Below are 25,268 nucleotides of genomic sequence, written 5' to 3' on the forward strand. Positions count from 1 at the left end.
GCAGGACGAGTTTGGGGCTTGCAAGTCCACAGCGAATCTGAAGCAGGCGCCATCAATAACAAAGTGCCTTTACGATATTTATAAGAACTAGGCTCTCCTCAATCCTTTCATTTGAACACGTTTCAAAGCAGACCCCTTCCTGGCACTTCGGTGAGGTGTCTGTTTCCCATTATAAAGCTGGGCCATGAACGAAAGTGACAATCGCAGCTTCCAAACATAAACTTCCTGAAACTCCTTTAGAAGGTTCCTCCATGACGTGTAGACATAAGCAGAAAGCCGTCACGCTGGGAGGTCGGCCGCGGGTGCGTCTTGGCTCCGTCATGATCCTGGTGAGGGTGGCAGGTCAGGATTGTAAACTCCAGGAGGGGACTTAAGAGACAGAACAGGGAAGAAAAGTGGCTGAGCTTAGCGACAGGCCGGCCTCAGAAGTGACATTCCCCCCGCCGACCCCTGCCCCCCGCCCAGTGTCCTTACACTTTGTGCAGAAATCTGGCGTGATCTAAGATATTCGTTCAGAATTCCCATGTGCTGGTGATTTATCACACCTTCCAGTGTCCTGAGCAGGAACAGGACAGAAGGCGTCGGTGGCTTTTTGGTTAAAAACAGGCAGGGCCATGCCAGGCCAGGCTTGGTGGCTCACGCCTGTAATCCCAGCACTTTGGGAGGCCAGGGCGGGTGGATCACCTGAGGTCAGAAGTTTGTAGAGCAGCCTGGCCAACATGGTGAAACCCCATCTCTACTAAAAAAATACAAAAATTAGCTGGGTGTGGTGGCAGGCACCTGTAATCCCAGCTACTCAGGAGGCTGAACCTGGGAGGTGGAGGTTGCAGTGAGCCGAGATCGTGCCATCGCACTCCAGCCTGGGGCACAAGAGTGAGACTTCGTCTCAAAAAACAAAACAAAACAAACAAAAACAAACAAACAAAAGAACATGGGCAGGGCCTCTCGCCCAGTGTGGTGGCTCTTAGGGACGCAGAGCTTCCTGGCCGCCCTTCGGCTCTGATTCTGTTTGTCCCCACAGCAGTCCACGGGCCGTGAGATCTCAAAGGCTGGGCACTGGACGCTTTGCTCTCTATCCTTCACACCAAGCTGGTCTGCGCTCTCCACCTGCTGGGGCTGCCCAGTGCCCCTTGCCAGAGACCCAGCTCAGAAACTCAGAAATGCTTCCAGCCACCCGCCCTCGGGACCGGCGTGAAGACCCGGTGCTGGGGCTCCTGGGTGGGGCTGTCACTGCCTGAGTTTGGGGCCTGCCCTTCTTGTCCCCCCCGAATCTCCCCCTCCCTAATCCCTTGGGGGGGATCGGGAGAGTGGGGGTTCCTAGTTTCATTTCTCCTGCGTGAATCAGATCATCTTCTCACCCCACGGGAGCCCTGGGACGCCGAGGCTGGGTGGGGGCGGTGGGATAATCCTCCGTGGCACGGGGTGGGGGTGGAATAATCCTCCACGGCACAGGGGGGGCGGTGGGATAATCCTCTGTGGCATGGGGGGGTGGTGGGATAATCCTCCGTGGCACGAGGAAGCAGTGGAATAATCCTCCATGGCACAAGGGAGCGGTGGAATAATCCTCTGTGGCACGCGGGGGGGGGTGTGGAATAATCCTCCGTGGCACGAGGGGGTGGTGGAATAATCCTCCGTGGCACGGGGGGTGGAATAATCCTCCGTGGCATGAGGGGGCGGTGGAATAATCCTCCGTGGCACGAGGGGGCAGTGGTATAATCCTCTGTGGCACGAGGGGTCGGCGGTATAATCCTCCGTGGCACGAGGATGGTCACCGCATTCGTCACTCTTAGCTGCAGTGCGTGTGACAGTCGCCAGGGCTGCTGTTTGAGGAATGGGAGTTGCCTGCGTCTGCTCTGCCCCAGGTGGTTTGTAGGGTGGTTTTTACTCCTTGCCAAAGCCCACACAGCCCCGCAAGGCAAACAGTGTTCAACTCTTTTCATGGCTGAAAAACTGGGACATCAGAGAGGTTAAGACACTGGCCAGGGCCACCTGGCAGGGAAGCTTCCGGGCCTTGCCTGCACCAGGACTGTCCGATGGGGACGTCATCTGCCTCCCAGACGGTATCTTAAAAAAAAAAAAAAAGACAAGGGATTTATTGAGATACACTTCACATACCATAGAGTTCACCCATCAAAATGCAATTCCGTTTAGACTGCAGAGAGATGTGCACACACAACCACTATCAACTTGGAAATTTTCATTACCGCAGACAGAAGCCCCCAGCCTCTCGCCGGCCCCTTTCATTACCCTAGACTGAAGCCCCCCCAGCCTCTTGCCTGCCCCTTTCATTACCCCGGACGTTAAGTCCCCAGCCTCTCGCTGACCCCGCCAGCCACACTCTGCTTCAGTCTAGGAGTCGTCAGCTCTGGTCCTGTCCCATGCGCGGGTCACACAATGCGTGGCCCTTTGGGAGTGTCTCCCTTGCTCAGCGTCACATTCCGGGGGCCTGTCCACGCAGCCAGCACCACCCCAGATGTTCTTGTCTGAGCCTACAAAGATTCCTAAAGAAAGGTTAGAAACTTCAGCTTCATTGGCTCCAGCCAGTGTGGACACTCCTATCCTTCTGTGATCCTGTTTTCTGCCTGTCCCCACAGCCTGATAAAATGTGCTCCCCACCCCTCCCTTTTTCTTACACCTGGAGGCCTCCAGCTAGACTTCCTTCAGGCCTGCGTTTCACTATCAGTGTGTGGACCTCTGGTTATTTTTTTCCTGGAGAGGAAACTACTTGGGTATTAAGGGGAATTTTGGCCGGGTGCAGCAGTGGCTCATGTCTGTAATCCCAGCACTTTGAGAGGCTGAGGCAGGAGGATCACTTGAGTCCAGGAGTTTGAGACCAGCCTGGGCAATACAGTGAGACCCTATCTCTACAAGAAACAATTTTAAAAAATTAGCCAGGGGTGGTGGTGCGTGTGTATAGTCCCAGACAGTTAGGAAGCTGAGGCAGGAGGAACAGTTGAGCTGGGAAGGTCAAGGCTGCAGTGAGAGCTAGGATGGTGCCACTGCACTCCAGCCGGGGCAACACAGTGAGACCCTGTCACAAAAAAGGAAAGAGGAGTTTTGATCCTCAACACTATAAAGGCCTCTATAACACATACAGCATTTTCTTTTTTCTTTCTTTCTTTCTTTTTCTTTTTTTTTTTTGAGACAGAGTTTCGCTCTTGTTGCCCAGGCTGGAGTGTAACGGCGCAATCTTGGCTCACTGCAACCTCTGCCTCCGGGGTTCAAGGGATTCTCCTGTCTCAGTCTCCCAGGTAGCTGGGACTATAGGCACCTGTGACCACGCCCAGCTAATTTTCGTATTTTTAGTAGAGATGGAGTTTCACTGTGTTGGCCAGGCTGGTCTTGAACTCCTGACCTCAGGCAATCCATCTGCCTCAGCCTCCCAAAGTGCCGGGATTATGGCGTGAGCCACCATGCTTGACTACATACAGCATTTTCAAAGGGCCCAGGGGGACACAGTGAACCCAGCAACCCCAGGCAGGATTAGCAAATAAGCATAATTGGGAACGGATGAAGAGCTGAAAGCCTGAGTGCTAAGTTGTAAAGACTCGGAAGCCCTGGTGGGAGCTCGGTAGTTGATGGATGATGTCTGCCATGACTGGGTAGGGGTTTAATGGCATGTGTGCTACGTGGTGGCATCTGGTGCAGATTTGGTTGGGTGGGAGAAGTCCCTGGATCCCAGAAGTCAGGGTGGGCACACCCAGGAAGCAAGCACTCACACCACCTCGTGTGTGGACAGCAGGGCCTGGCTGGCCTGGCCCAGGGGGCTCCATCACGGTTGCAAGCTGCAGGCCGACTGGGTCTTGGCGCGGGCCCAGTAAGCTGCTTTCAGGGAGTCTGTGAGGAGCTGCCTCTTGGGTCAGCCACCTCTGAGTAGCAGAGGATTTAAAAACCAGACCCCATTGCCCTGCCACACCTGCAACATCTGGCCCAGCACAGTGTGTGTCCTTCTTGGGTAGCCGGGTCCCTGCAGAGGGAGACAGTGTGGCGGGCGCCAGCAGGCCGTGCTCCAGCCTCCACCCGCGCCCCCACACCCTGGAGTCAGCGCACTGCAGAGCTGTGACGGCCCCTCCTCTTCCTCCATGCGGCTCCTGCACCCGCCTCTCCCTGCTCGTGATTCACCTATGGGGCTCAGCACAGGGATTCCTGAAGGAATTTTTCTCCATCCGAGAGGCAGGACGATAAACTCCCACAGATGAGATTGGCTGTCTAGCAGAGGAGAACCCTGTGTACTCTTATGTTCTAGAGCTTTCTTTTGGTGTCACCTTATTTTTGCAACCTCCTGCCTAATTTTCTTTTGAAATGTTTTTTCACTTTAAAAACTGATTCAGAGAGCAAATGTGAACAGAGAAAGGAGTAGGCTGCCTGTGCCCACGTGTCTAGGCCAACCAGCGGCTTTTCTGCAATGCTGCACCCGGAGCAGCCCCCACTGTCTGTGGCCTTGGCAGACACTCCCTTGTTCATGTGGCCTCGGCAGACACTCCCTTGTTCATTTTGCACCACGTGAGCCAAGGCAGGTTGGGTGGGCCATGGCTGCTCTTGGTCCCAGCGACGGGCATTCAGGTGCAGGCTGGGGTGGGCGTGGATGCCTGCTGGCCACCAGCCTGGGATGCCGTGGGACGGAGCTCAGCTCAGCCACCGCCTGCCATTGCCGCACAGGCCAGGAGGTGAATTTAGCTGAAGCCGTCGCCCCCAGGCGGGAATCCCACTGTCTGCCTTCAGGAGGGGTGGCAGCAACGCCAGCCTCTCCAGGGTGATTTTCGGTAGAAACAGACCCCTCTAGATCCCAGAAACTGGGCCCTCACCATGGCCAGCTCAGCCTCATGGGGTGAAAAGCCATTGTAATATCCAAGTAACAGCAGCGAGGGTCACGAGTTCTGCCTTTGGGGCGTGCTGGCAGGCGGGCGGGGGTCTGCGTGCCTCGGCTCTCTCAGGCCCACGCGGGAGGTGCCGTGACTGTCCCAGGCTTCAGACAAGCTGACTATGGCCAGCTGGAAAAGGCTCCCCCAAATGCCCTGATCCCCAGAACCTGTGCTTGATGCCTGGATTAGCCCATTTTCACACTGCTATAAAGAACTGCCCAAGACCGGGTAATTTACAAAGGAAAGAGGTTTAATTGACTCACAGTTCAGCATGGCTGGGGAGGCCTCAGGAAACTGACAATCATGGCGGAAGGCAAAGAAGCAAGAACCTTCTTCACAAGGCAGCAGGAAGGAGAAATGCAGAGCAAAGGTGGGAAGAGCCTTTTATAAAACCATCAGCTCTCACAAGAACTCACTCACTATCATGAGAACAGCATGGAGGAACCACCCCGTGATTCAGTCACTGCCCCCTGGGCTCTCACTCCACACGTTAGGATCATGGGGATTAAATTCGAGGTGAGATCTGGGTGGAGACACAGAAACTGACCATGCCACTGCTGTGCACAGCACTGCCGGTGGCTGAGGGTCACGAGGCAAGGTCTTCCCAGATGATCCAGCTGGGCCCAACATAATGGCAGGGTCCTTTTAAGGAAGAGGCAGAGGAAGATTCGGCCCACACAGAGGCAATGGCCCTGGGACACAGACGTGGAGGCAGAGATTACAGCGAAGCAGCCACAAGTCAGGGCACGCCTGGCTTGCAGACGCTGCAGAAGCAGGAAGGACCCTCAGGAGAGCACAGCACTGCAGCCCTTGGCTTTGTCCCCACAGGGCCCATGTTGGGCTCCGGCCTCCACACCACATTTTAAGGCCCTCAGTTTGTGACGTCATGGCAGCCCAGGTGCCTGGTAATGGCTGAGGGCTGAGGTGCCCTCCCATGCCCTGCACACAGGTCTCACTGACCCCAGAGTCAACTCCTCCGTGCGATCTGTATGTCATTTGGAGGTGGATGCAGGGTAGAGAAAAGAAGACTTTCTTGAGGATTTTTGTCCCCTTCTCTTTGAAGAAATAAGGCCATTTGCACATCTGTGGGGATGTGGGGATTGAGGTGCACGTCTGTGGGGATGTGGGGATGGGGGTGCACGTCTGTGGGGATGTGGGGACGGGGGTCCACGTCTGTGGGGACGCGGGGATGGAGGTGCACATCTCTGGGGATCCCAGGACAGAGGTGCACATCTGTGGGGACGCGGGGACGGGGGTCCATGTCTGTGGGGATGTGGGGATGGAGGTGCACAGAGGACGCCTTCTGGTGAGCCCTGCACCATCACACTGTGGCCCTGGCCATCCCTGTGGGACAGCGCGTCTGGGTCTGGCTGCTGGTGCAGCCCATCTCGATTCTGGACTGAGATTCAGTGGTCACACCCGACGTCTCCTGGGTGAAGGCAGAAGACAGGGCTCTGGGGTTGCTGCCCAGAATTCAATTGCTCTTTCCACCCTGAAGAATCAGGCTGTCAAGTTGCACAAAACTGGTGAAGGGGACTTCTGGGGGTGAGGATCTTTGGGGGTTGAGTTGCTGATGTCCTAGGATCTTCTCCCCACCTCTGTTTCCCCAGAGAACTCTTGCCTCAAGGGTCCCCACTTCAGCGTGACTTCCCTGAAAGCAGGTGGTGGTGACACTGTAGGGTGTTGGCCTCCTTTCCTGGCCTCACCCTCTTTCAGGGCCTTGCCCACTGTATGGGGGGGCCACGCATGTGTTTGCTGAGGCTAGGTCATCATGGGCACCAATAGCTTCTTGCCCTCACTCCCCAAGACCACCTGCTCCAGGGGAGGCCAGTGCCATATGCCAGCAGCTCTGTGGGGAGGCTCAACAGGGGAGTGCTGAGGCCTCGAGCCACCAGCCCCGGTCAGGACTTCAGATGACTCCAGCAAAGACATCTCGACGGCAGCCTCATGAGTGAGCCTGTGCCACAGCTGCCCAGCCAAGTCATGCCACATTCATGACCCAGAGAAACCAAGATAATCAATGACTGTTGTCCTTTTTAGCCACCAAGTTCAGAGGTGACTTGTTACACAAAAGCAGAGAACAAATGTGCCAGCTGCCAGGGGTGTCGACGGCTCATAGCTGGGTCCCTCTGGAAATGGCTGCCGTGTCACCCCATGTAATGCCTTCTCCTGGGAGCAGCTGCATGGAAGGACTGGTCCTCATGTTTCCATTCAGGACACCCACAGAGGGTCTCTCTTCTTTGTGGGTGAGGCCTCAACAGTGAAACAGCTGAGGCCTCTGCTGCAACCGCATTGCAGCCCAGTGGCTCCCCCTGCCCAGGCCCACTTTCCACACCCCTGCAGGTGTTGCTCCAAGGAGCCTCTGCACCTCCTCCCAGACTCAGATCTGTTTCCTGGGACCCAGGCATGAGGCTTCTCCCCGGCAGCCTCCAATGTCACGTGGATCAGGCAATGCTGGGCATCTGTGTCCACGCTGTCTCCTCTCCAGGATCAGGAGGTGCTGAGCGTCTGTGTCCAAGCTGTCTCCTCTCAAGGATCAGGAGGTGCTGAGCGTCTGTGTCCACACTGTCTCCTCTCCGGGATCAGGCAATGCTGGGCGTCTGTGTCCACGCTGTCTCCTCCCTGGGATCAGGGGCTTTGCCAGCTTGCTCACCTTTGGCCCCTGGGCACATGATGGACTCTTACCAAATGTTAGTTGAGTAAATGTGAGTGGGTGGCACGGGAGGAGTCAGGCTAGGTGGCCGTCTGTGTGGGCGATTCGAGAAAACTCTTCCTGCAAACAGCCACCCAGAACCTAGCACCAGAATGCCTGGGCCTCACCATTGGTGACTCCTTTTTCCCTCACTCCTCACGTATAGAATGCAAATACTATGAGGAAGACAAAGGCATGAAATCATTAACACTTCAGAGTTGGAAGCAGCTTCAGAGTCACACACACGTCCAACTGCCCCTCCCCAAATCACCCAGGCCGAGGCTGCCCCACCCCAGTACCCATCAGAACCCCCTGGAGGGTGAGTTCAGACCCCCGGGGGGCTGCCTCCTGGGCTTCTGATTCAGGAGGCTGGGGCAGGCCCTGAGGCTCCACATTGCTGACAAGTTGCAGGTGGTCCGCTGCCAGTCCGCTTGGAGAACTCTGCTCCCGCTCACACTGGACTGAACTGGCTGCTGCCTAGCCTACCACGGTCTCCGTCCGTCTTCTCTGGCAGGGGCTGGCTCTCCCAGGTGTCGCTGAGTGCCTGGTTGTTCCAATTCAGTTTGCTTACAGTGTCTGTGAGTAATAAATACCCAAGGCTCCCCTCCTGCTCCTCCACACCCACGTGGCATGAGCAGCTTCCCCAGCCCTGGTGCAGCCTCCTGACTTCAGGCCTGTCTCTGCCTCGGTGTGAACTGTATTGGAGAGATGTCCTCCCAGCGTGGGCTGCTGTCCTGCAGGTGAGAATCATAACGTGGTCATTCAGAACCACTCGTCTTAAAGTGCCTTCTCTAGACAAAAAATGCCTTTTCCATCGAAGGTGGGGAGGGGAGAAAAATGGCCTCCAACGCAGGGAGTGCTGTGCGGGTTGGGCAGGTGCTTGTGGGCTCTAACAAATGGATTTCCACGAGGGGCCCAGGGCAGCAGGTGCAGCTTGGCCGGGTGTAGCCTCGCTGGAGACATGCGTCTGCAGCCGGGCTCTGTGGGGCCTCGGGACAGGCACTGGGAAACCTTAGAAACTGCAGAGCCGGGCCAGCGATGGCACAGTGTCCGTGGCAGGGAAGCTCAGGAAGCTTGTGGTCCAGCCCCCTTCACAGATGAAGACGCTGCGGCCCAGACGGGCACTCATGGCACTTGCAGTCAGTGTCGAAGGCCCCTTGCTTTTCTTCAGCCCCCAGGCACCTGGGCCGGGTGTGGCTTCCTAAACCCCACTGTCAGGGCCCCTCCCGCACCGCCCCATGTCAAACCATTTCCTGCAGCAATGGGGCTGTGACGCCACTGCCAAAGAGGCCAGCGTGAGGAAGGGCTTTTGAACTAAAACCACTCCCCGCAGTGGCCAGTCTGCAATGGGCTGTTTTTCTAAAGTCTTTTTTTGTGGGTATGTCGTAGATGTATATATTCATGGGGTACATGAGATGTTTTGACACAAGCATGCAAGGTGTAACAATCACATCAGAGAGAATGGGGTCTCCATCCCCTCAAGCATTTATCCTTTCTGTTACAAACAAGCCAGTGATTTTATTTTAGTTATTTTAAGATGTACAATCAAATTATTGTTGACTATGCTCACCCCGTTGTACTATCAAATAATAGGTCTTATTCATTTCTTCTATTTTTTTGTACCCATTAACCATCCCCCCACTTCCCTTCCCAGCCTCTGGTAACCCTCCTTCCACTCTCTATGTCCATGAGTTCAATCGTTTTGATTTTTAGCTCCCACGAATAAGTGAAGACGTGTTTTTGTTTGTTTTGTTCGTTTGTTTGTTTGTTGAGACGGAGTCTCGCTCTGTCACCAGGCTGGAGTGCAGTGGTGCCATCTCAGCTCACTGCAACCTCCGACTCCCAGGTTCAAGCGATCCTCCTGCTTCAGCCTCCTGTGTAGCTGAGACTACAGGCGCCCACCACCACACCCAGCTAATTTCTGTATTTTTAGTAGAGATGGGGTTTCACCATGTTGGCCAGGCTAGTCTTGATCTACTGACCTTGTGATCCGCCTGCCTTGGCCTCCCAAAGTGCTGGGATTACAGGCTTGAGCCACCGCGCCTGGCTGAAAACCTGTTGTTTTTCTTTCCATCCCTTGATTATTTCACTTAACATAATGACCTCCAGTTCCATCCGCGTTGTTCCAATGACAGGATCTCGTTCTTTTTTGTGGCTGAATAGTACTACGTTGTGTACGTGCCACATTTTCTTTATCTGTTTGTCTATTGATAGGCACTTAGGTTGCTTCCAAATCTTGCTACTGTGAAGAGTGCCGCAGTAAACACAGGCGTGCCAGCCAGGCGCGTTGGCTGATGCCTGAATCCCAGCACTTTGGGAGGCTGAGGTGGGCGGATCCCTTGAGGTCAGGAGTTCCAGTAAACACAGGACTGCAGACATCTCTTTGATAGATGGATTCCTTTCTTTTGGGTCTATACCAAGCAGTGGGATTGCTGGATCCTATGGTAGCTCAATTTTTAGCTTTTTGAGGAACCGCCAAACTGTTCTCCATAGCGGCTGTATTAATTTACATTCCCACCAACGGGGTACGAGGGTTCCCTTTTCCCACATCCTCGCGAGCATTTGTGATTGTCTGTCTTTTGGATAAAGGCCATTTTAACCGGGGTGAGGTGATGTCTCATGGTAGCTTTGAGTTGCATTTCTCTGACGATCAGTGATGTTGAGCTCCTCTTCAGATGCCTGTTGGCCATTTGTGTGTCTCCTTTGAGAAACTTCTATTCAGATCTTTTGCCCATTTTTAATCAGATGATTAGATTCTTTCCTATAGAGTTGTTTCAGCTCATTATATGTTCTGGTTATGAATCCCTTGTCAGACGAGTAGTGTGAAAATATTTCCTCCCATTCTGTGGGGTGTCTCTTCACTCTGGATTGCTCTCTTTGCTGTGCAGAAGATTTTTTTTTTTTTTTTTTGAGATGGAGTCTTGCTCTGTTGCCCAGGCTGGAGTGCAGTGCCACGATCTCAGCTCACTGCAAGCTCCGCCTCCCAGGTTCACGCTATTCTCCTGCCTCGGCCTCCCCAGTAGCTGGGACTACAGGTGCCCGCCACCACGCCTGGCTAATTTTTTTGTATTTTTAGTAGAGACAGGGTTTCACCATGTTAGCCAGGATGGTCTCGATCTCCTGACCTCGTGATCCACCCGCCTCGGCCTCCCAAAGTGCTGGGATTACAGGCATGAGCCACTGCACCCGGCCTGCTGTGCAGAAGCTTTTTAGCTCGAGGTGGCCCCATTTGCCTGTGTTTGCCTTGGTTGCCTGTGTGTGGGGGCATTGCTTGAGAAATGTTTGCCCAGGTCAATGTCCTGGAGATTGTCCCCAGTGTTTTCTTGTAGTAGTTTCATCATTGGAGGTCTTGGATTCCAGACTTTAATCCATTTTGGCTTGATGTTTGTATGTGGCGAGAGGTAGGGGTCTCGTTTCACTCTTCTGCGGATGTGTAGCCAGTTTTCCCAGCACCGTTTATGGAAGAGACTGTCCTTTCCGCAGTGTACGTTCTTGCCACCTTTGTTGAAATTGAGTTCACTGTAGGTGCGTGGGTAATGGGCGGCTCTTCCAGCTGGTGAGTTTCCATGGCTTCTGGCGCTTTGACACTTGGTGACAGGAGAGCCTGGTGAGCAAGGATCCAGCCCTGTGGATGCAGGACATGAGGACCTGTGGCTGAAGCCCGGCTGGGGGAGGAACAGTTTACCTCCAGCCCTGGGCAAGGCCATGCTTTTTGTGTCTCAGTTACCTCCGCAGACCGTGGTGAAGGCACAAAGGCTCTCGCAGCTGAAGGGCCTATCGTAGGTCAGGTCTGGCCTGTCTTAAATGGGTAACAAGTGGCCCCTCTGGGACAGGCGGTGCAGGGCCCCAGCTGTGAGGCATGCGTCCCTTCTTCTTAATTTCACCGACATGGCTGGTTTGACACCCCCCCGGTGCAGGCTGCAGGGAGATCAGATACACGTGCAGCCTCTTGCTCTGGAAAGCTCACCGTGTGGTCTAGTGCGTGGAGAAGCTCCCGGGTGTGAGGAAATTTCTTGCCACACTGAGAGTGCTGTGGGACTGGACACCTGGCTCCTGCCAGGGCCGCACTGGGCAGGGCTGTGGGCCATGCGATGGGAGGTCCTGTGGTCCCATGATGTCCGGTGAGCACCATGGGTGGCTGAGGAAGGGTCTCCCCCACCCCACAGCCAGTCCTGTCCCCCACCCCCAGCTTCATGGCCTTTGCAAGTCCCTCCACCTCTCTGTGCCCAAGTCTGCCCACCTGTGAATGGGGAGAACGATAAGGGCCACACTCACTCACTGCGGGGGTCTCCGGGGAGAATGACAGGGACCACACTCACTCACTGTGGGGGTCTGAGGGAGAATGACAGGGACCACACTCACTGACTGCGGGGGTCTCCGGGGAGAATGACAGGGACCACACTCACTGACTGCGGGGGTCTCCGGTGTGGGGAATGACAGGGACCACACTCACTGCGGAGTCTGAGGTGAGATTGGATCAGGGAACACGCGGTGCCCAGCTGACTTCCCAGCCCATGAGCTGGGGTAGACGGAGCCGTGGTTCTGGTACTGCATTCTCCTCCGTGCCTCCAGCTTCTGCAAGTGTTGCCCTGGGCGTCCGAGACCCTGTCTGAGCCTCTCTGCAGCCTGGTGAAGGCGGGCCTGGCCCCCAGATGCAGCTGTGTGTGCAGTGAGTTGGCTTGCTGGGCCCACAGAGGGGCAGGGAGCTCAGAGGGGCTGTTGGGGAAGAGGTGCCTCCCCTTCTCCACCTACAAGCCCAGCAAACCTGGTTCCTTGTGGCTGCCGCACTGAGAATTCTTGGACGCCATTGCTTTGGGAGGAAGTGGGCACTGGAAACAGGCCAGGGGGAAAATGTCTTATCAGTCTGTAAAAAATTTCAGCCGCCTTTCTCTTTCTGTGGCCTCTCATGGAGATAATGCTTCTGGGGCCGGGGAAACAGAACCCAGAGGTGACTTAAAAAACAACCACCAACCCTCCAGGTCGCAGGGCAGTGAACGGTGGCTCCGCAGGGAAACGCAGCTGGTTCTGCCCCTGCCCAGCCTGTCTTAACCATGCCGCCTGGTCTTCTGTGCCGGGCTCTGCGCGTTCAGGATGTGATTCCATTTAATTAATACTTAAACTAAACCTTAGTGTGCAAAGGGGAAACGTGGCAGGAAGCACACCAAAAACAGCCACTGTGTTTATTTTCAAGGGGCTGGATTATTTTATGCATTGCTGCCATTTCTGATCTGCAATAGATATATATTATTTTCATAATCAGAAAAACACATTATAAAAAGCTTTAGGAAGACAAGTACATGTGTGACGCTCATATGTCCCGGCTGATCAGCCAAGGTTGCTCCTCTGGAGAAGCTCGGGGGTCACCGCCGTGCACCCCTCCAGCTCATGTCAGCCTTGCACAGTGCACACGACCCCGTCCCCTCCCGCTTTCCCTCCTGAGTTGACCCTGGTTTATCTGGGATGGCCATGGGCTCCGCTAAAAATATGCACCGTCCAGGACGGTGGTGTGGAAAGAGAAAGGTGCCGGGGCCCTGTGTGTTCCTGGACTTCCTAACTCTAGTTCTGGAGACCAGAAGGGAAATCAAGAGGCCCGCCGAGCCATACTCCCTCCAGAGGCTCTGGGCCCTTCCAGCCGTACTCCCTCCGGGGGCTCTGGGCCCTTCCAGCCGTACTCCCTCTGGGGGCTCTGGGTCCTTCCAGCCGTACTCCCTCTGGGGGCTCTGGGTCCTTCCAGCCGTACTCCCTCTGGGGGCTCTGGGTCTTTCCAGCCGTACTCCCTCTGGGGGCTCTGGGTCTTTCCAGCCATAGTCCCTCCGGAGGCTCTGGGCCCTTCCAGCTGTACTCCCCCTGGGGGCTCTGGGTCCTTCCAGCCGTACTCCCTCTGGGGGCTCTGGGTCCCTCTAGCCATACTCCTTCCAGAGGCTCTGGGCCCTTCCAGCCTCTCCCAGCTCCTGGGCACTCCAGGTATTCCTGGGCTTGTGGCCACATCGCTCCCATGTCTGCCTTTATCCTCATGTGGTCTCTTCGTCTTTGGGGGCAAACCCTGCCCCCCCCCCACCGTCTCGCTCATGTAAGGATACCTGGTCATCCAGGGTGGCCTCCCCATCTCAGGTGAAAAGCGTGCGCTCTGGGAAAGGCTCTTTGATGAGGATGGAAAGAGAAACTGCAGAGCGGGGAAAATATTCACAAACACACACGCCCGACTAGAGCCCTGGGGTCCAGACTGTATAGAGAACTCTCAAAACTCAACCATGAAAAAACAAGCCGATGTGAGAATGGGCAAGACGTGGGGGGGCTCTTCCCTGAAGAGGATGCAGACAGCCAATCAGGGCGTGGCAGGTGCTCCTTGCCAGCAGCCGTCGGGAAATGCACTGAGACCACAGGCAGAGATCGCCACACCCCCATCAGGACGGCCAGCACAGAACCGGTGATGCCGCGGTGTAGACACAGGGCCTGGACCTCCAGAACCAGCGATGCCCCAGTGTAGACACAGGGCCTGGACCTCCAGAACCAGCGATGTCGTGGGGTAGACACAGGTCCTGGACCTCCAGAACCGGCGATATCGTGGTGTAGGCACAGGGCCTGGACCTCCATTGCTGGCAGGAATGCAAATGGCATGGCCACTCTAAACACCAGCTTGACAGTTTCACCCAAAAGTAAACACCCGACTAATGTACAACCCCACAATGACACTCTTGGGGTGTTTATTCCAAAGAAATGAAGACGTATCTTCATGCCAAAAACTGTGCAGCTGCATTTGTAACAGGCAGAACGTAGAGACAACCCGAGCGTCCTTCAGTGGACACACGAACGGCCGCACCGCGGAACGCTACTCAGCCATGAAAACAAACAGACCAGCTGCACACAGCAACTTGGACCATCTCCAGAGAATTCTGCCGAGTGGGAAAAGCTGACCTCAAAAAGCCTGTACATGCCATGACGCTGTTTATGGAACTGGCATCATCAAACCAGAGACCGAGAACAGGTTGGTGGTTTGCCAGGGCTGGGGATGGTGGGTGGGGGGAGTAGGGGCCGCAGGGGGGCAGCTGGAGGCAGCCTGTGATGAGGGGAACAGTTAGTGCTTTGGTGGTGGTGGCAGTTACACGAATCTACACGTGTGATAAAATGGCCTTGCCTGAAGTGAGTGCACGCGCGCGCACACACACACACACACACCAGGGCATGCAGAGCTACGAGAGTCTGAACGGGCCCTGTGGGTCATGCCAGGCTGATGGCTTGGCGTGCTGCTGTGTTGGCACGCCTGATGCTCTGAAGGGTGTGGCTGGGTGGGAGTGAGAGTCAGGGATGCGTGAGGGCCGGGGATATGTGAGAGCTGGGGACGTGTGAGAACTGGGGGCATGTGAGGGCCGGGGATGTGTGAGAGCTGGGGGTGTGTGAGGGCCGGGGACACGTGAGAGCTGGGGTCATGTGAGAGCCGGGGACGTGTGAGAGCCGGGGGCATGTGAGGGCTGGGGATGCGTGAGAGCCAGGACAGATGCGTGTGGCTCTCTCTGCCTTTCTCTGCAATTTCCTGTGCATCTATAATTATTTCAAAAATAAAAGTTTTTTTACAAAAAGAAAAAAATGAAGACAAAATCACCGCAAATTCCTGTTTTGTCCCTTTGATCTTTTTTTACTTGGAGAGATGATTCAGGTCTCTGAATACTCAGCCACTGACTGCCTAGAAGACCCTGGGGAGGGCTGGGCCTCTGAGGCTCAGGCCAGTTTATACCTGTGGAAGTGCCACGTGTCTTCATGGACCGTGGAAGTGCCACATGCCTTCACCGACCGTGGAGGTGCCATGTGCCTTCAGGGACCGTGGAGGTGCCACGTGCCTTCGGGGACCGTGGAGGTGCCACGTGTCTTCACGGACCGTGGAAAGTGCCACGTGTCTTCACGGACTGTGGAAGTGCCACGTGTCTTCATGGACTGTGGAAGTGCCACGTGTCTTCATGGACTGTGGAAGTGCCACGTGTCTTCAGGGACCGTGGAAGAGGGGCTTTTCCTGGGCTTGATGCTGCTGCACTGTTGCTGGGACCCAGCTTCTTGGAGCCCCGGTCGTGTGCGAGTGACCTGGGAGGTGGACCTGTCGGAGTGACTGTGAGGGAAGCTGTGTGAAGGTGGGAGGCCGCCGTATCGTCAGAGGCAGCTATGGCAAAGGGAGGCTCCGCACACAGCGCCCATCAGCAGAGCAGGAGGAGGAGCACGAGGGGAGGCGCCATACTGTGATTTTACTTCTTTGTTTTTTTGAGACGGAGTCTCGCTCTGTCGCCCAGGTTGGAGTGCAGTGGCGCAATCTCAGCTCACTGCAACCTCCGCCTCCCAGATTCACACCATTCCCCTGACTCAGCCTCCCCAGTAGCTGGGACTACAGGCTCCCACCACCACACCTGGCTAATTTTTGTATTTTTAGTAGAGACGGGGTTTTGCCATGTTGGCCAGGCTGCTCTCAAACTCCTGACCTCAGGTGATCTGCCCGTCTCAGCCTCCCAAAGTGCTGGGATTACCCAGGCATGAACCACCGCACCCGGCTCCTATCTTTTCATTGAAATCTTGCCTCGCAGCTTTTAAAGACTGTACATTTCTTCTAAGTTCTTTTTAGAATTCTTCGCAGTGTTTTGGTGGAGCCTTTTGAGTTTCTTCACGGGCTCTCCACAGCCCCACCCTGAGGACGGGAGCCCTTTGGATGGGGCCGGTGTCAGCAAAGGAAGCACAAGAGTCTCAGCTGCTCGACCTGGTCCTGCCCGCCGTGGTCCCAGAGAACCATGGGAGCAACATCTACCATTTGGGCTGACTCTCTGCTTTCTGTGTCAGCTCACCTGTCACCTCCACCTCTGCAGAGGGAGGGTGATGGCGCGCAGGGGTCAGGCACGCCCCGGGTGCTCCTGGAGTCTCATCTTCCTCTTTTCTTCCCTTCAGAGTGTGCTGATCCAGGCTCAGATTCCCGACTCTATGGCTTCCTTAGCAGAGGGGCCCTGGTGTCAAAGGACTGCTTTTAAAAGAAGATACAATTCTGACTCAAAAATACAGAATACATACATGTCAAAGACTTTATTTAACTCATTAACTAATGCAGGCACCAGTAAGATGTTTCCGGCATTTGGGAGAGAATTCAGAGAACCACACGGATAAGCAATAGGGAATGCTGAGATGAGTTTACAAATAGATGTGGAGATGCTTTATCCCCAGGTGGTCCTCGGCTGCATTCCACGGAGATGCAGTTCACTTGTGTTTCCACTGCTCTCACTTTTCTAGGATTTACAAAGTTGCAAAATAGCCCCAAGACAATGAGAGGCAGGGCCTAGGCAGGAACTGAGTCACTGTTTGTTTTTGCTCGTTTCAAAGTCTTTTGCAAGTTTCCCTGACAACTCGTAACTCTTGGGCTTGTTTTGCCATCTGTGGAATGAAAATAACGTTTGTCCTGTCCTTGAGGAGTTGTGAGCTTGAAAAGAAAGTAAGTGAAGAAATGTCTTCTAGAGGCTTCTTTGTATCAGCCGAGGCGGTCTCACGGTTAGCTCTGGGCCCCCTGAGAACCGGGTCTGAAATTCACTATTTCATGGTCTCCTACAGGTTTATCTCCCTCCCTCGCTTCATCTCCGCACTCTTCCTTAAAGCCACATGCCTCAGTGCAGAAGCCTGGCCATCCGCAGCCTGTGGTGCACCTTCGGGGCCCATCTGTGCTGGGTGTTTTTCATTATTAAGTGACCCTGATGAGAATAACCTTGCACGGCTGGGAGCAACTCAGCATTCTTCTTGGTCACCAATTTTCCTTCCAAGCCAATTGCTCAAAGCAACCAAATACCAAAGTTTTCATCAGAATGCCTCGCTCCACGTGCACTGATGAACAACACCTGCTCCTGGGTCACGGGGCCGGCAGCCTGGATGTGTTTTACACAGAGGGTGGGGTGGAGACACAGGTGCGGGAAACTGTCCCCCACCGGGTCCAGCCGTTTGGGTGGATGCTGGCCGGCCCAGCTCTGGATGTGTGGGACTGGGCTGTTCCCAGGTGGCTGCCTCTCCTGGTTCTCCTCTGGGAAGTCAACGGCTGACTGATAAGGTTTTGCCCAGCTCCCTGAAGCCTGGTCTTGGTTAACTGGGAGCGTGTCGTAGGGAGTGGGGTTAGGGAAGAGATGGGGACATCTGGTTTTTGTCCTGCCCACTGTTTGGGACAGGATGGTTCAGTCAGACCACATTTGCAAAGCGAGAGCCGTCTGTGGAGTCCCGGCCCGTGGGGTCCTGGTGTTGGGTCTGTCTGCTGCCGCCGTGCGCGCTGTGAGGAGAGCACTCTCTTCTGAGGAGAATGGGATGGGGAACCACACACAACCAAGAGGCCCCCAAGTCCGCCTGGGAGGGTGGAGGCTGCACCGGGGAGAGTGTGCTGGGCCAGGGTGGGTGAACGTGTCCTGTGGAGGGGGAGGCATCGCCCCTGAGCCATTCTCCAGCTTCCCTGCTTCCAGGGAGTGCAGAACTGCCCCGTGGTTGCTGAGGAGGAGAGCAATCTTCAGGGGCAGCCCTGGGCCCAGGGGAGCCACTGCCTGCCTCAGCAGAGCCTCGTGACACTTGCTTTCTCTGGGGTCCGTGCAGGAGGCCCAGGCCCCCGCCTTCTGCTGCATGTGTGTGTTACAGAAATGGCAGATGATAAACTGATTCCTCTATCGGAGCTTGGTGCTCATTTCCCGGAGTGATGTCATCGGGCCGGCGGGACGCATTAGCCAGAGGGCTGGGAAACAGCGGAGATGGCGCGCCCCACCTGGGAGAACACAGGCAGCTGGAGGACGTCGGCGGTGTTACTGTCACGGTCACCTGGACTGGGCGGTTGCAGGCGGCCGGATGCTGGACCCGCAGCGTGAGCTCCACGGCCGCAGCAGGGAGGCGAGAGCCCTCAACCAGGGACGGAGCCGCCCTGTCCACGGAGCCTCCAGACCCACCAGAACGCCTGGGTCACCGCGGCTCCCGGGCGGGCCTCACTGCGCTGGGACACGTCAGGACACGTGGCAGCTCCCAGCGCGGTGGAAGGCCTGAGCCCTGGGAACACTGGCTGGAAAATGGAACTCGGAGGACAGAGCTTGTCGACGGCGTCTCGTATGAATCCTGGAGGAGACGCCCGTGTCGAGGGCAATTAGAATCCAGGCGTGAGCCCCGGCTGGCTGCGTCCACTGGAGCCGCCTGACCTCACCCGAGGGTGGGAGGCCGTGTGGTTTCTTGGTTCTCAGCCATGCAAACTTTCTTGGCCGCAGGCGTTGGGTGAGGTTCTAGAAAGACCTCACCATCAGTGTGGGGTGTTTTGCACCCTCTCCTTCACTGGGGTGGCACGAGGCACCCGCTATGTACCGTGCACAGTGGGGTGGGGGGGTGGTGGGCGCTGCATGAGGTACCCGCTGTGCACCATGCATGGTGGGATGGGGGGGTCGGGAGGGGGCACTGCATGAGGCACCCGCTATGTACCATGCATGGTGGGGTGGGGGGTTGGGGGGGGCGCTGCAGTTGGCACCGGCTGTGTACCATGAACGGTGGGGTTGGTGGGGGTCGGGGGGGTGGGGGCGCTGTACTTGGTGCTCTCCTTACACTGACTTTGGTCCTTGTCCAAACCCTCCGAGGAGTTCACCCTATTATTAAAACTCGAAACAAAAACCAACCAAACATAAAAACATACTCAGAGAGTTAAAGAGAGAAACTAAGCCGCTGTCGCCAGCGCCGTGTCATGAGCCGAACATTTCAGTATCGATTCTGGCCATCGGAGGGGCTGGCTCAGTGAACTTCCAAAAAGAATTGTTCGCAAAGAAACAAAACTGACCTTGAAGAGAGCTCAGCCTTGGCCAGATGGGCCCTTGAAGTCTGGCTGTCACGTCACAACCCCGGCTCACAGGCTGAAATCCGGCCCTGGGCCGCTGTGAGAGTTGAGTAGGCAAAATTCCATACATATTTAAGCTTATCTATAATTTATTCCAATGACCTAAGGAATCATATATCATTTTGTCTGTTGTTCAGTAACTTTTAATCCCTGCCTTCCTAATCCTAAATTGGCCAGGCGGTTGCAGGCCGCACTGCAGAGTTCTCATGTAACTGTGCAAATACTCGCCCACTAGGTCCTGGGTTTGCTGAAGTTTACTGTTTATGATTAGGAATTTATTTGTCAAAATATGCTTCTTTTTTACTCACTGGCCACTAGAACAGAGGCTCGTGGTAACGCGTACAGAGATGGTACATCCCTGTCCTCTCATCAAAGTGATTCCTCTCCCTTTTGCCAAACTTCCACAGAAGCCAAATAAACAGTGTAGACACTCCGTCACTCGCTACGGCCACGGCGGCCACTCGGATCACACTCCGTCACTCACTGTGGCCACAGTGGCCACTCAGATCACACCCCGTCACTCGGTATGGCCACGGCGGCGACCACTCGGATTGCATCCCGTCACTCAATAGGGCCACGGCAGCCACTGTGATCGCAACCTGTCACTTGCTACAGCCACAGCAGCCACTCTGATCACACCCCATCACTTGCTATGGCCACGATGGCCCCTTGGATCACACTCTGTCACTTGGTGTGGCCACGGTGGCCACTCGGATCACACTCCATCACCCACTACGGCCACAGCAGTCACTCGGATCACATCCCGTCACCCACTACGGCCACAGCAGTCACTCGGATCACATCCCGTCACTCACTACAGCCATGGCAGCCACTCTGATTGCATTCCCGTCACTCGCTATGCCCACGGCGGCCACTCAGATCACACTCCATCACTTGCTATGGCCACGGCAGCCACTCAGATGGCACTCTGTCACTCACTATGGCCACGGCAGCCACTTGGATACTTGGTCAATAAAATAAGAAGGTCAAACATTTACCCTGTGTGAGCCGGCAACCTCCAAAAGGCAAACACAGTCAGTTTGGTCAGGAGCTGGAGGATTTGTACACGTATTTGTATGCTTTAGTCTGCCACAGTTTTATGTGTGTGTACATAAATATACTTTAGGTATATATTCTTAGCTCTGTGTATATATATGTGTGTATATATGTGTTTATATGCTTAACTCTCTGTATATATGTGTGTGTGTGTATATAAATATATATTTTAGAGATGGCATCTCACTCTGTCCCCCAGGCTGGAGTGCAGTGGTGCAATCATAGCTTACTGCAGCCTTGTCCTCCTGGGTTCAAGTGATCCTCCTGCCTCAGCCTCCCAAATAGCTGGGACTACAGATGCCCGCCATTGGGTCCAGCTGCAATTGTTATATTTTTGATACTCAAATTGCCTCTTTGTTGGCTATCACTTTTATTTATTTATTTTTGCTAAATGATTTTAGTGGTTTGAATGGCATATGCTGGAGAGTATGGACACATTTTTGCACTCACATAGCCAGCACCACCCCTAGACTACCCATCACCTGGAAAGGCCCTGCTCCACCCCTTGTATGCCCCAACCCGTCTGCTTTCCCTTGCTTGGATGAGACAGGGTTTTCCAGGGTTTCGTGTCCATGGAGTCAGGCAGCACGCACGGGCTGTGTGTCTGTTCTTTCACCCAGCGGAGTGTCGAGGTTTATCCGTGCCGTGTTGCCTCTCAGAAGGTCATTCCTTTCATTGTTGAGTAGTGCTTCATTTTTGGATGTACTACGGTTTGTTTGCAGGCGCACCTGTCGATGAAGATTTGGGCTGCTTTTAATTTTGGGCTGTTGTTAGGAATAAACTGCCGTGGATGAAGATTTGGGCTGTTTTCAATTTTGGGCTGTTGTTAGGAATAAACTGCCGTGGATGAAGATTTGGGCTGTTTTCAATTTTGGGCTGTTGTTAGGAATAAACTGCCGTGGATGAAGATTTGGGTTGTTTTCAATTTTGGGCTGTTGTTAGGAATAAACTGCCGTGGATATTAACAGCAAGTCTTGGTGTGTGCCTGGGTTTGCATTTCTCTTGGGTGAGGGCCTAGGAGGAGAATTGCGGGGCCATGTGGTGAGTATATGTGTGACTTTATCAGCAGCGTCAAACCCTTGCCAAAGGGGTCGTTTCTCCCGATAGATGTAGGGGTGGGTTGCATATTATAATTATATTTTTTATTTTTCTAGTTTTTTCATTTTCTAGTGACTAATGATTTTGAGAATCTTTTCCTATACTTCTTTGCAATCTTTGATGAAGTGTCTATTCAGATATTTGACTCTTTTTTAAATTTCGAGATGGAGTTTCACTCTTGTTGCCCAGGCTGGAGTGCAATGGCGCACTCTCGGCTCACTGCAAACTCCGTCTCCCAGGTTCAAGCGATTCTCCTGTCTTAGCCTCCCAAGTAGCTGGGATTACAGGCATGTGCCACCATGCCCAGCTAATTTTATATTTTTAGTAGAGACGGGGTTTCTCCATCTTGGCCAGGCTGGTCTCGAACTCCTGACCTCAGGTGAACCACCTGCCTCGGCCTCCCAAAGTGCTGGGATCACAGGCGTGAGCCGACGCACCCAGCCAGTTTCACTCATTTTTATGGGGATGTTTGTGTTGAGTTTCAAAAGCTTTTGATTGTGGTCTGGATGCAAGTCCTTTATCAGGTATCTGTTTGGCCAGAATTTTCTCCCAGTCTGTGACTTGTTTTTTATTTTTATTTTATTTTATTTATTTTTTGAGACAAGGTCTCACTCTGTCACCCAGGCTGGAGTGCAGTGGTGCAATCATGGCTCACTGCAGCCTCCACCTTCTAGGCTCCTCCCACCTCAGCCTCCTGAGTAGCTGGGACTTCAGGCACATGCCATCACACCCTGCTAATTTTTGTATTTTTTGTGGAGACAGGGCCTCACCATGTTGCCCATGCTGGTTTTGAACTGGGCTCAAGCAATCCACCAGCCTCAGCTTCCCAAAGTGCTGGGATCACAGGCATGAGCCACCACGCCCAGGCTGATTTGCTTTTTAATTTCTTAATCATGTGTTTGGAATAATAGAAGTGTTTTTTGTTTGTTTGTTTTTGTTTTTTTTTTTGAGATGGAGTTTTGCTCTTGTTGCCCAGGCTGGAGTGCAATGGCACGATCTAGGCTCACTGCAACCTCTGCCTCCTAGGTTCAAGCGATTCTCCTGCCTCAGCCTCCCAAGTAGGTGGGATTACAGGCATGCACCACCACACCTGGCTAATTTTGCATTTTTAGTAGAGACGGGGTTTCTCCATATTGGCCAGGTTGGTCTTGATCTCCCGACCTCAGGTGATCCACCCGTCTCAGTGTTCCAAAGTGCTGGGATTACAGGCGTGAGCCACTGTGCCCGGCCAAGAATAGAAGTTTTCGATGTTTAATTTATCAGTCTTTTAAAAATACTTTTTGTGTCCTATCCAAAAAAAATTTGTCTATCCCAGGGTCATGAATAATTTTTCCTATGTTTTCTTCCAGAAGTTTTCTAGATTAAGCTTTTATAATTAGATCTATGCTCCATTTCAAGATACTTTGTGTGTGCTGTGAGGTGGGGTTCATATTTTTCCATATGAATTTGCAGTTGTGCCAGCACCATTTGTTGAGAAGAATGTTCTTTCCTCACAGAATTGCTTTAGCACTTTGTTGAAAATTGACCATTTATGTGTGGGTCTATTTCTGGACTTCTTTCATTGATCTACACATCTATCTTTACATTGGCATGCTGTCTTGTGGTTTTATACTATATCTTAAGATAGTATGTCTTCTAAATTTGTTCTTTTCAAAATTATTTTAGCTATTATAGATCCTTTGCATTTCAGAAATTCAAAGAAGAATTGGTACCAATCCTATTGAAACTATTCCAAAAGACAGAGAAAGAGGGAATCCTCCCTAAGTCATTCTATGAAGCCATATAACTTTTAGAATCAGCATGTCGGTTTCTACAAAAATAGCCTGCATGGCTTGGACTGGAATGAGTTAAATCTATTGGCCAATTTGGGAAGGGTTGCCATCTTAACTCTATCGAGTAATCCAATCCATGAACATAGTTTGCCTTTCTTTTTATTTAGATCTCCTTTAATTTCTCTCAGTAGCATTTTATAGTTTTCACTATCAGGTCTAGCTCATACTTTGTAAAAGGTGAAGGATTTGTATGATCTGAAGAGAAATCAGAGTATAGTAGCTCATATTTTGTTAAATTTATCCCTAAGAATTTTATGATTCACTTGCAAATGGTATTTTATTTTTTTGCAAATGGTATTTTTTTAAAAATTTAAATTTCCAATTGCTTGTGCTTATAGATAGAAATACTGTTAATATTTGCATACTGGCCTTTATCCTGAGACCCTGCTTAGTTCTAGTTCTAGTAACTTTTTAAAAAGTTCCAGTTGGGCGCAGTGGCTCACGCCTATAATCCTAGCACTTTGGGAGGCCAATGCGGGTGGATTGCCTGAGCTCAGGAGTTTGAGACGAGCCTGGGCAACATGGTGAAACCCCGTCTTTACTAAAATATAAAAAATTAGCTGGGAGTGGTGGTGGGTGCCTGTAATCCCAGCTACTGAAGAGGCCGAGACAGGAGAATTGCTTGAACCTGGGAGGCAGAGGTTGCAGTGAGCCGAGATTGCACCGTTGCACTCCAGCCTGGGTGACAGAGTGAGACTCCATCACCAAAAAAAAAAAAAAAAAAAAAAAATTCTTTGGGATTATCGAAGTAGATGTTTGCATTGTCTGTAGATAATGCAGTTTTATTTCTTCCTCTCCTGCATGCTTTTTATTGTTTGTTTCTGTCTTTACTGTACTGGCTGGAACCTAGTACAATGTGAGATAGAAGTGATGTGTGGAGACATCCTGGCCTTAGGGGGAACGTCTCGTATTTCACCATTAAGGATGATGTTAGCTCTAGACTTTACAGAGATGTTCTTTATCAGTTGAGGAAGTTATTTCCTATCCCAGTTGTGCTTGGAGATTTTAATCATAACTGGATGTTGAGTTTTGCCAAAGCCTTTACTGCATCTTCCACAATGATCTTATTGTTTTTCTCCTTATTCTGCTTATATAGTGAATTGTGTTGATTGATTTTTGAATGCCAACTCTGCATTTTTGGGATGAATCTCACTTGGTGATAATATGTTTTTTGTTTTTTGTTTTTTTTGAGACAAAGTCTTGCTCTGTAACCCAGGCTGGAGTGCAGTGGCTCGATCTCGGCTCACTGCAACCTCCGTCCCCCGAGTTCAAGCAATTCTCCTGCCTCAGCCTCCTGAGTAGCTGGGATTATAGGCACGCACCACCATACCCAGCTAATTCTTGTGTTTTTGGTAGAGATGGGGTTTTGCCATATTGGCCAGGCTGGAGTGCAGTGGGGCAATCTCGGCTTACTGCAACCTCTGTCCCCCGGGTTCAAGTGATTCTTCTGCCTCAGCCTCCCGAGTAGCTGGGATTACAGTCACACGCCACCACGCCTGGCTATTTTTGTATTTTTAGTAGAGACGAGGTTTCATTCACCATGTTGTCCAGGCTGGTCTCGAACTCCTGACCTCAGGTGATCAGCCCGCCTTGGCCTCCCACAGTGCTGGGATTACAGGTGTGAGCCACCACGCCCGGCCCAGTTTCATGTTTTCTGGGATGGATTTGCTCATTTTTGTTGAGGAATGTTGCCGTGCTCACGAGGGCCTTGCTCTGCTGTTGCCTGCAGGTTCTTTCCAGCGTTGTCCGCGTCACAGGCCTCATAACACAGATGGGAAAACAGTCCCTCCTCCTTCACTTTCTGAAGAAGTTTGTATGAGTTTGACGTCATTCTCTTCCTTAAATGTCTAATAGAATTCAGCAACGAATCCCTGGCT

The 25,268-nt window shown here is 53.1% G+C and overlaps 6 annotated features.

Moving 5' to 3' along the window:
* Positions 3,415 to 4,101: an enhancer, noted in NCBI's record as "H3K4me1 hESC enhancer chr16:29155082-29155768 (GRCh37/hg19 assembly coordinates)". NCBI's record gives its function as "activates a minimal SCP1, AML or CMV promoter by ChIP-STARR-seq in naive H9 embryonic stem cells {active_cell/tissue: H9 hESC(naive)}" and the evidence as "EXISTENCE:reporter gene assay evidence [ECO:0000049][PMID:30033119]".
* Positions 4,102 to 4,788: an enhancer, noted in NCBI's record as "H3K4me1 hESC enhancer chr16:29155769-29156455 (GRCh37/hg19 assembly coordinates)". NCBI's record gives its function as "activates a minimal SCP1, AML or CMV promoter by ChIP-STARR-seq in naive H9 embryonic stem cells {active_cell/tissue: H9 hESC(naive)}" and the evidence as "EXISTENCE:reporter gene assay evidence [ECO:0000049][PMID:30033119]".
* Positions 11,822 to 12,492: an enhancer, noted in NCBI's record as "H3K4me1 hESC enhancer chr16:29163489-29164159 (GRCh37/hg19 assembly coordinates)". NCBI's record gives its function as "activates a minimal SCP1, AML or CMV promoter by ChIP-STARR-seq in primed H9 embryonic stem cells {active_cell/tissue: H9 hESC(primed)}" and the evidence as "EXISTENCE:reporter gene assay evidence [ECO:0000049][PMID:30033119]".
* Positions 11,872 to 12,100: a silencer, noted in NCBI's record as "fragment chr16:29163539-29163767 (GRCh37/hg19 assembly coordinates)". NCBI's record gives its function as "represses an EF-1alpha promoter that drives an FKBP-Casp9 reporter gene in an ReSE screen in phorbol 12-myristate 13-acetate-treated (for megakaryocytic differentiation) K562 erythroleukemia cells {active_cell/tissue: K562(+PMA)}" and the evidence as "EXISTENCE:reporter gene assay evidence [ECO:0000049][PMID:32094911]".
* Positions 14,719 to 15,918: an enhancer, noted in NCBI's record as "P300/CBP strongly-dependent group 1 enhancer chr16:29166386-29167585 (GRCh37/hg19 assembly coordinates)". NCBI's record gives its function as "activates an origin of replication core promoter dependent on BRD2, BRD4, P300/CBP, MED14 and CDK7 cofactors, with strong dependence on P300/CBP, by STARR-seq in HCT116 cells {active_cell/tissue: HCT116}" and the evidence as "EXISTENCE:reporter gene assay evidence [ECO:0000049][PMID:35650434]".
* Positions 16,242 to 16,536: a silencer, noted in NCBI's record as "tiled region #414; K562 Repressive non-DNase unmatched - State 20:ReprD". NCBI's record gives its function as "represses a minimal TATA promoter and a strong SV40 promoter by Sharpr-MPRA in K562 cells {active_cell/tissue: K562}" and the evidence as "EXISTENCE:reporter gene assay evidence [ECO:0000049][PMID:27701403]".

Source organism: Homo sapiens, chromosome 16 (assembly GCF_000001405.40).
Source record: "Homo sapiens chromosome 16, GRCh38.p14 Primary Assembly".
Lineage (NCBI taxonomy): Eukaryota > Metazoa > Chordata > Mammalia > Primates > Hominidae > Homo > Homo sapiens.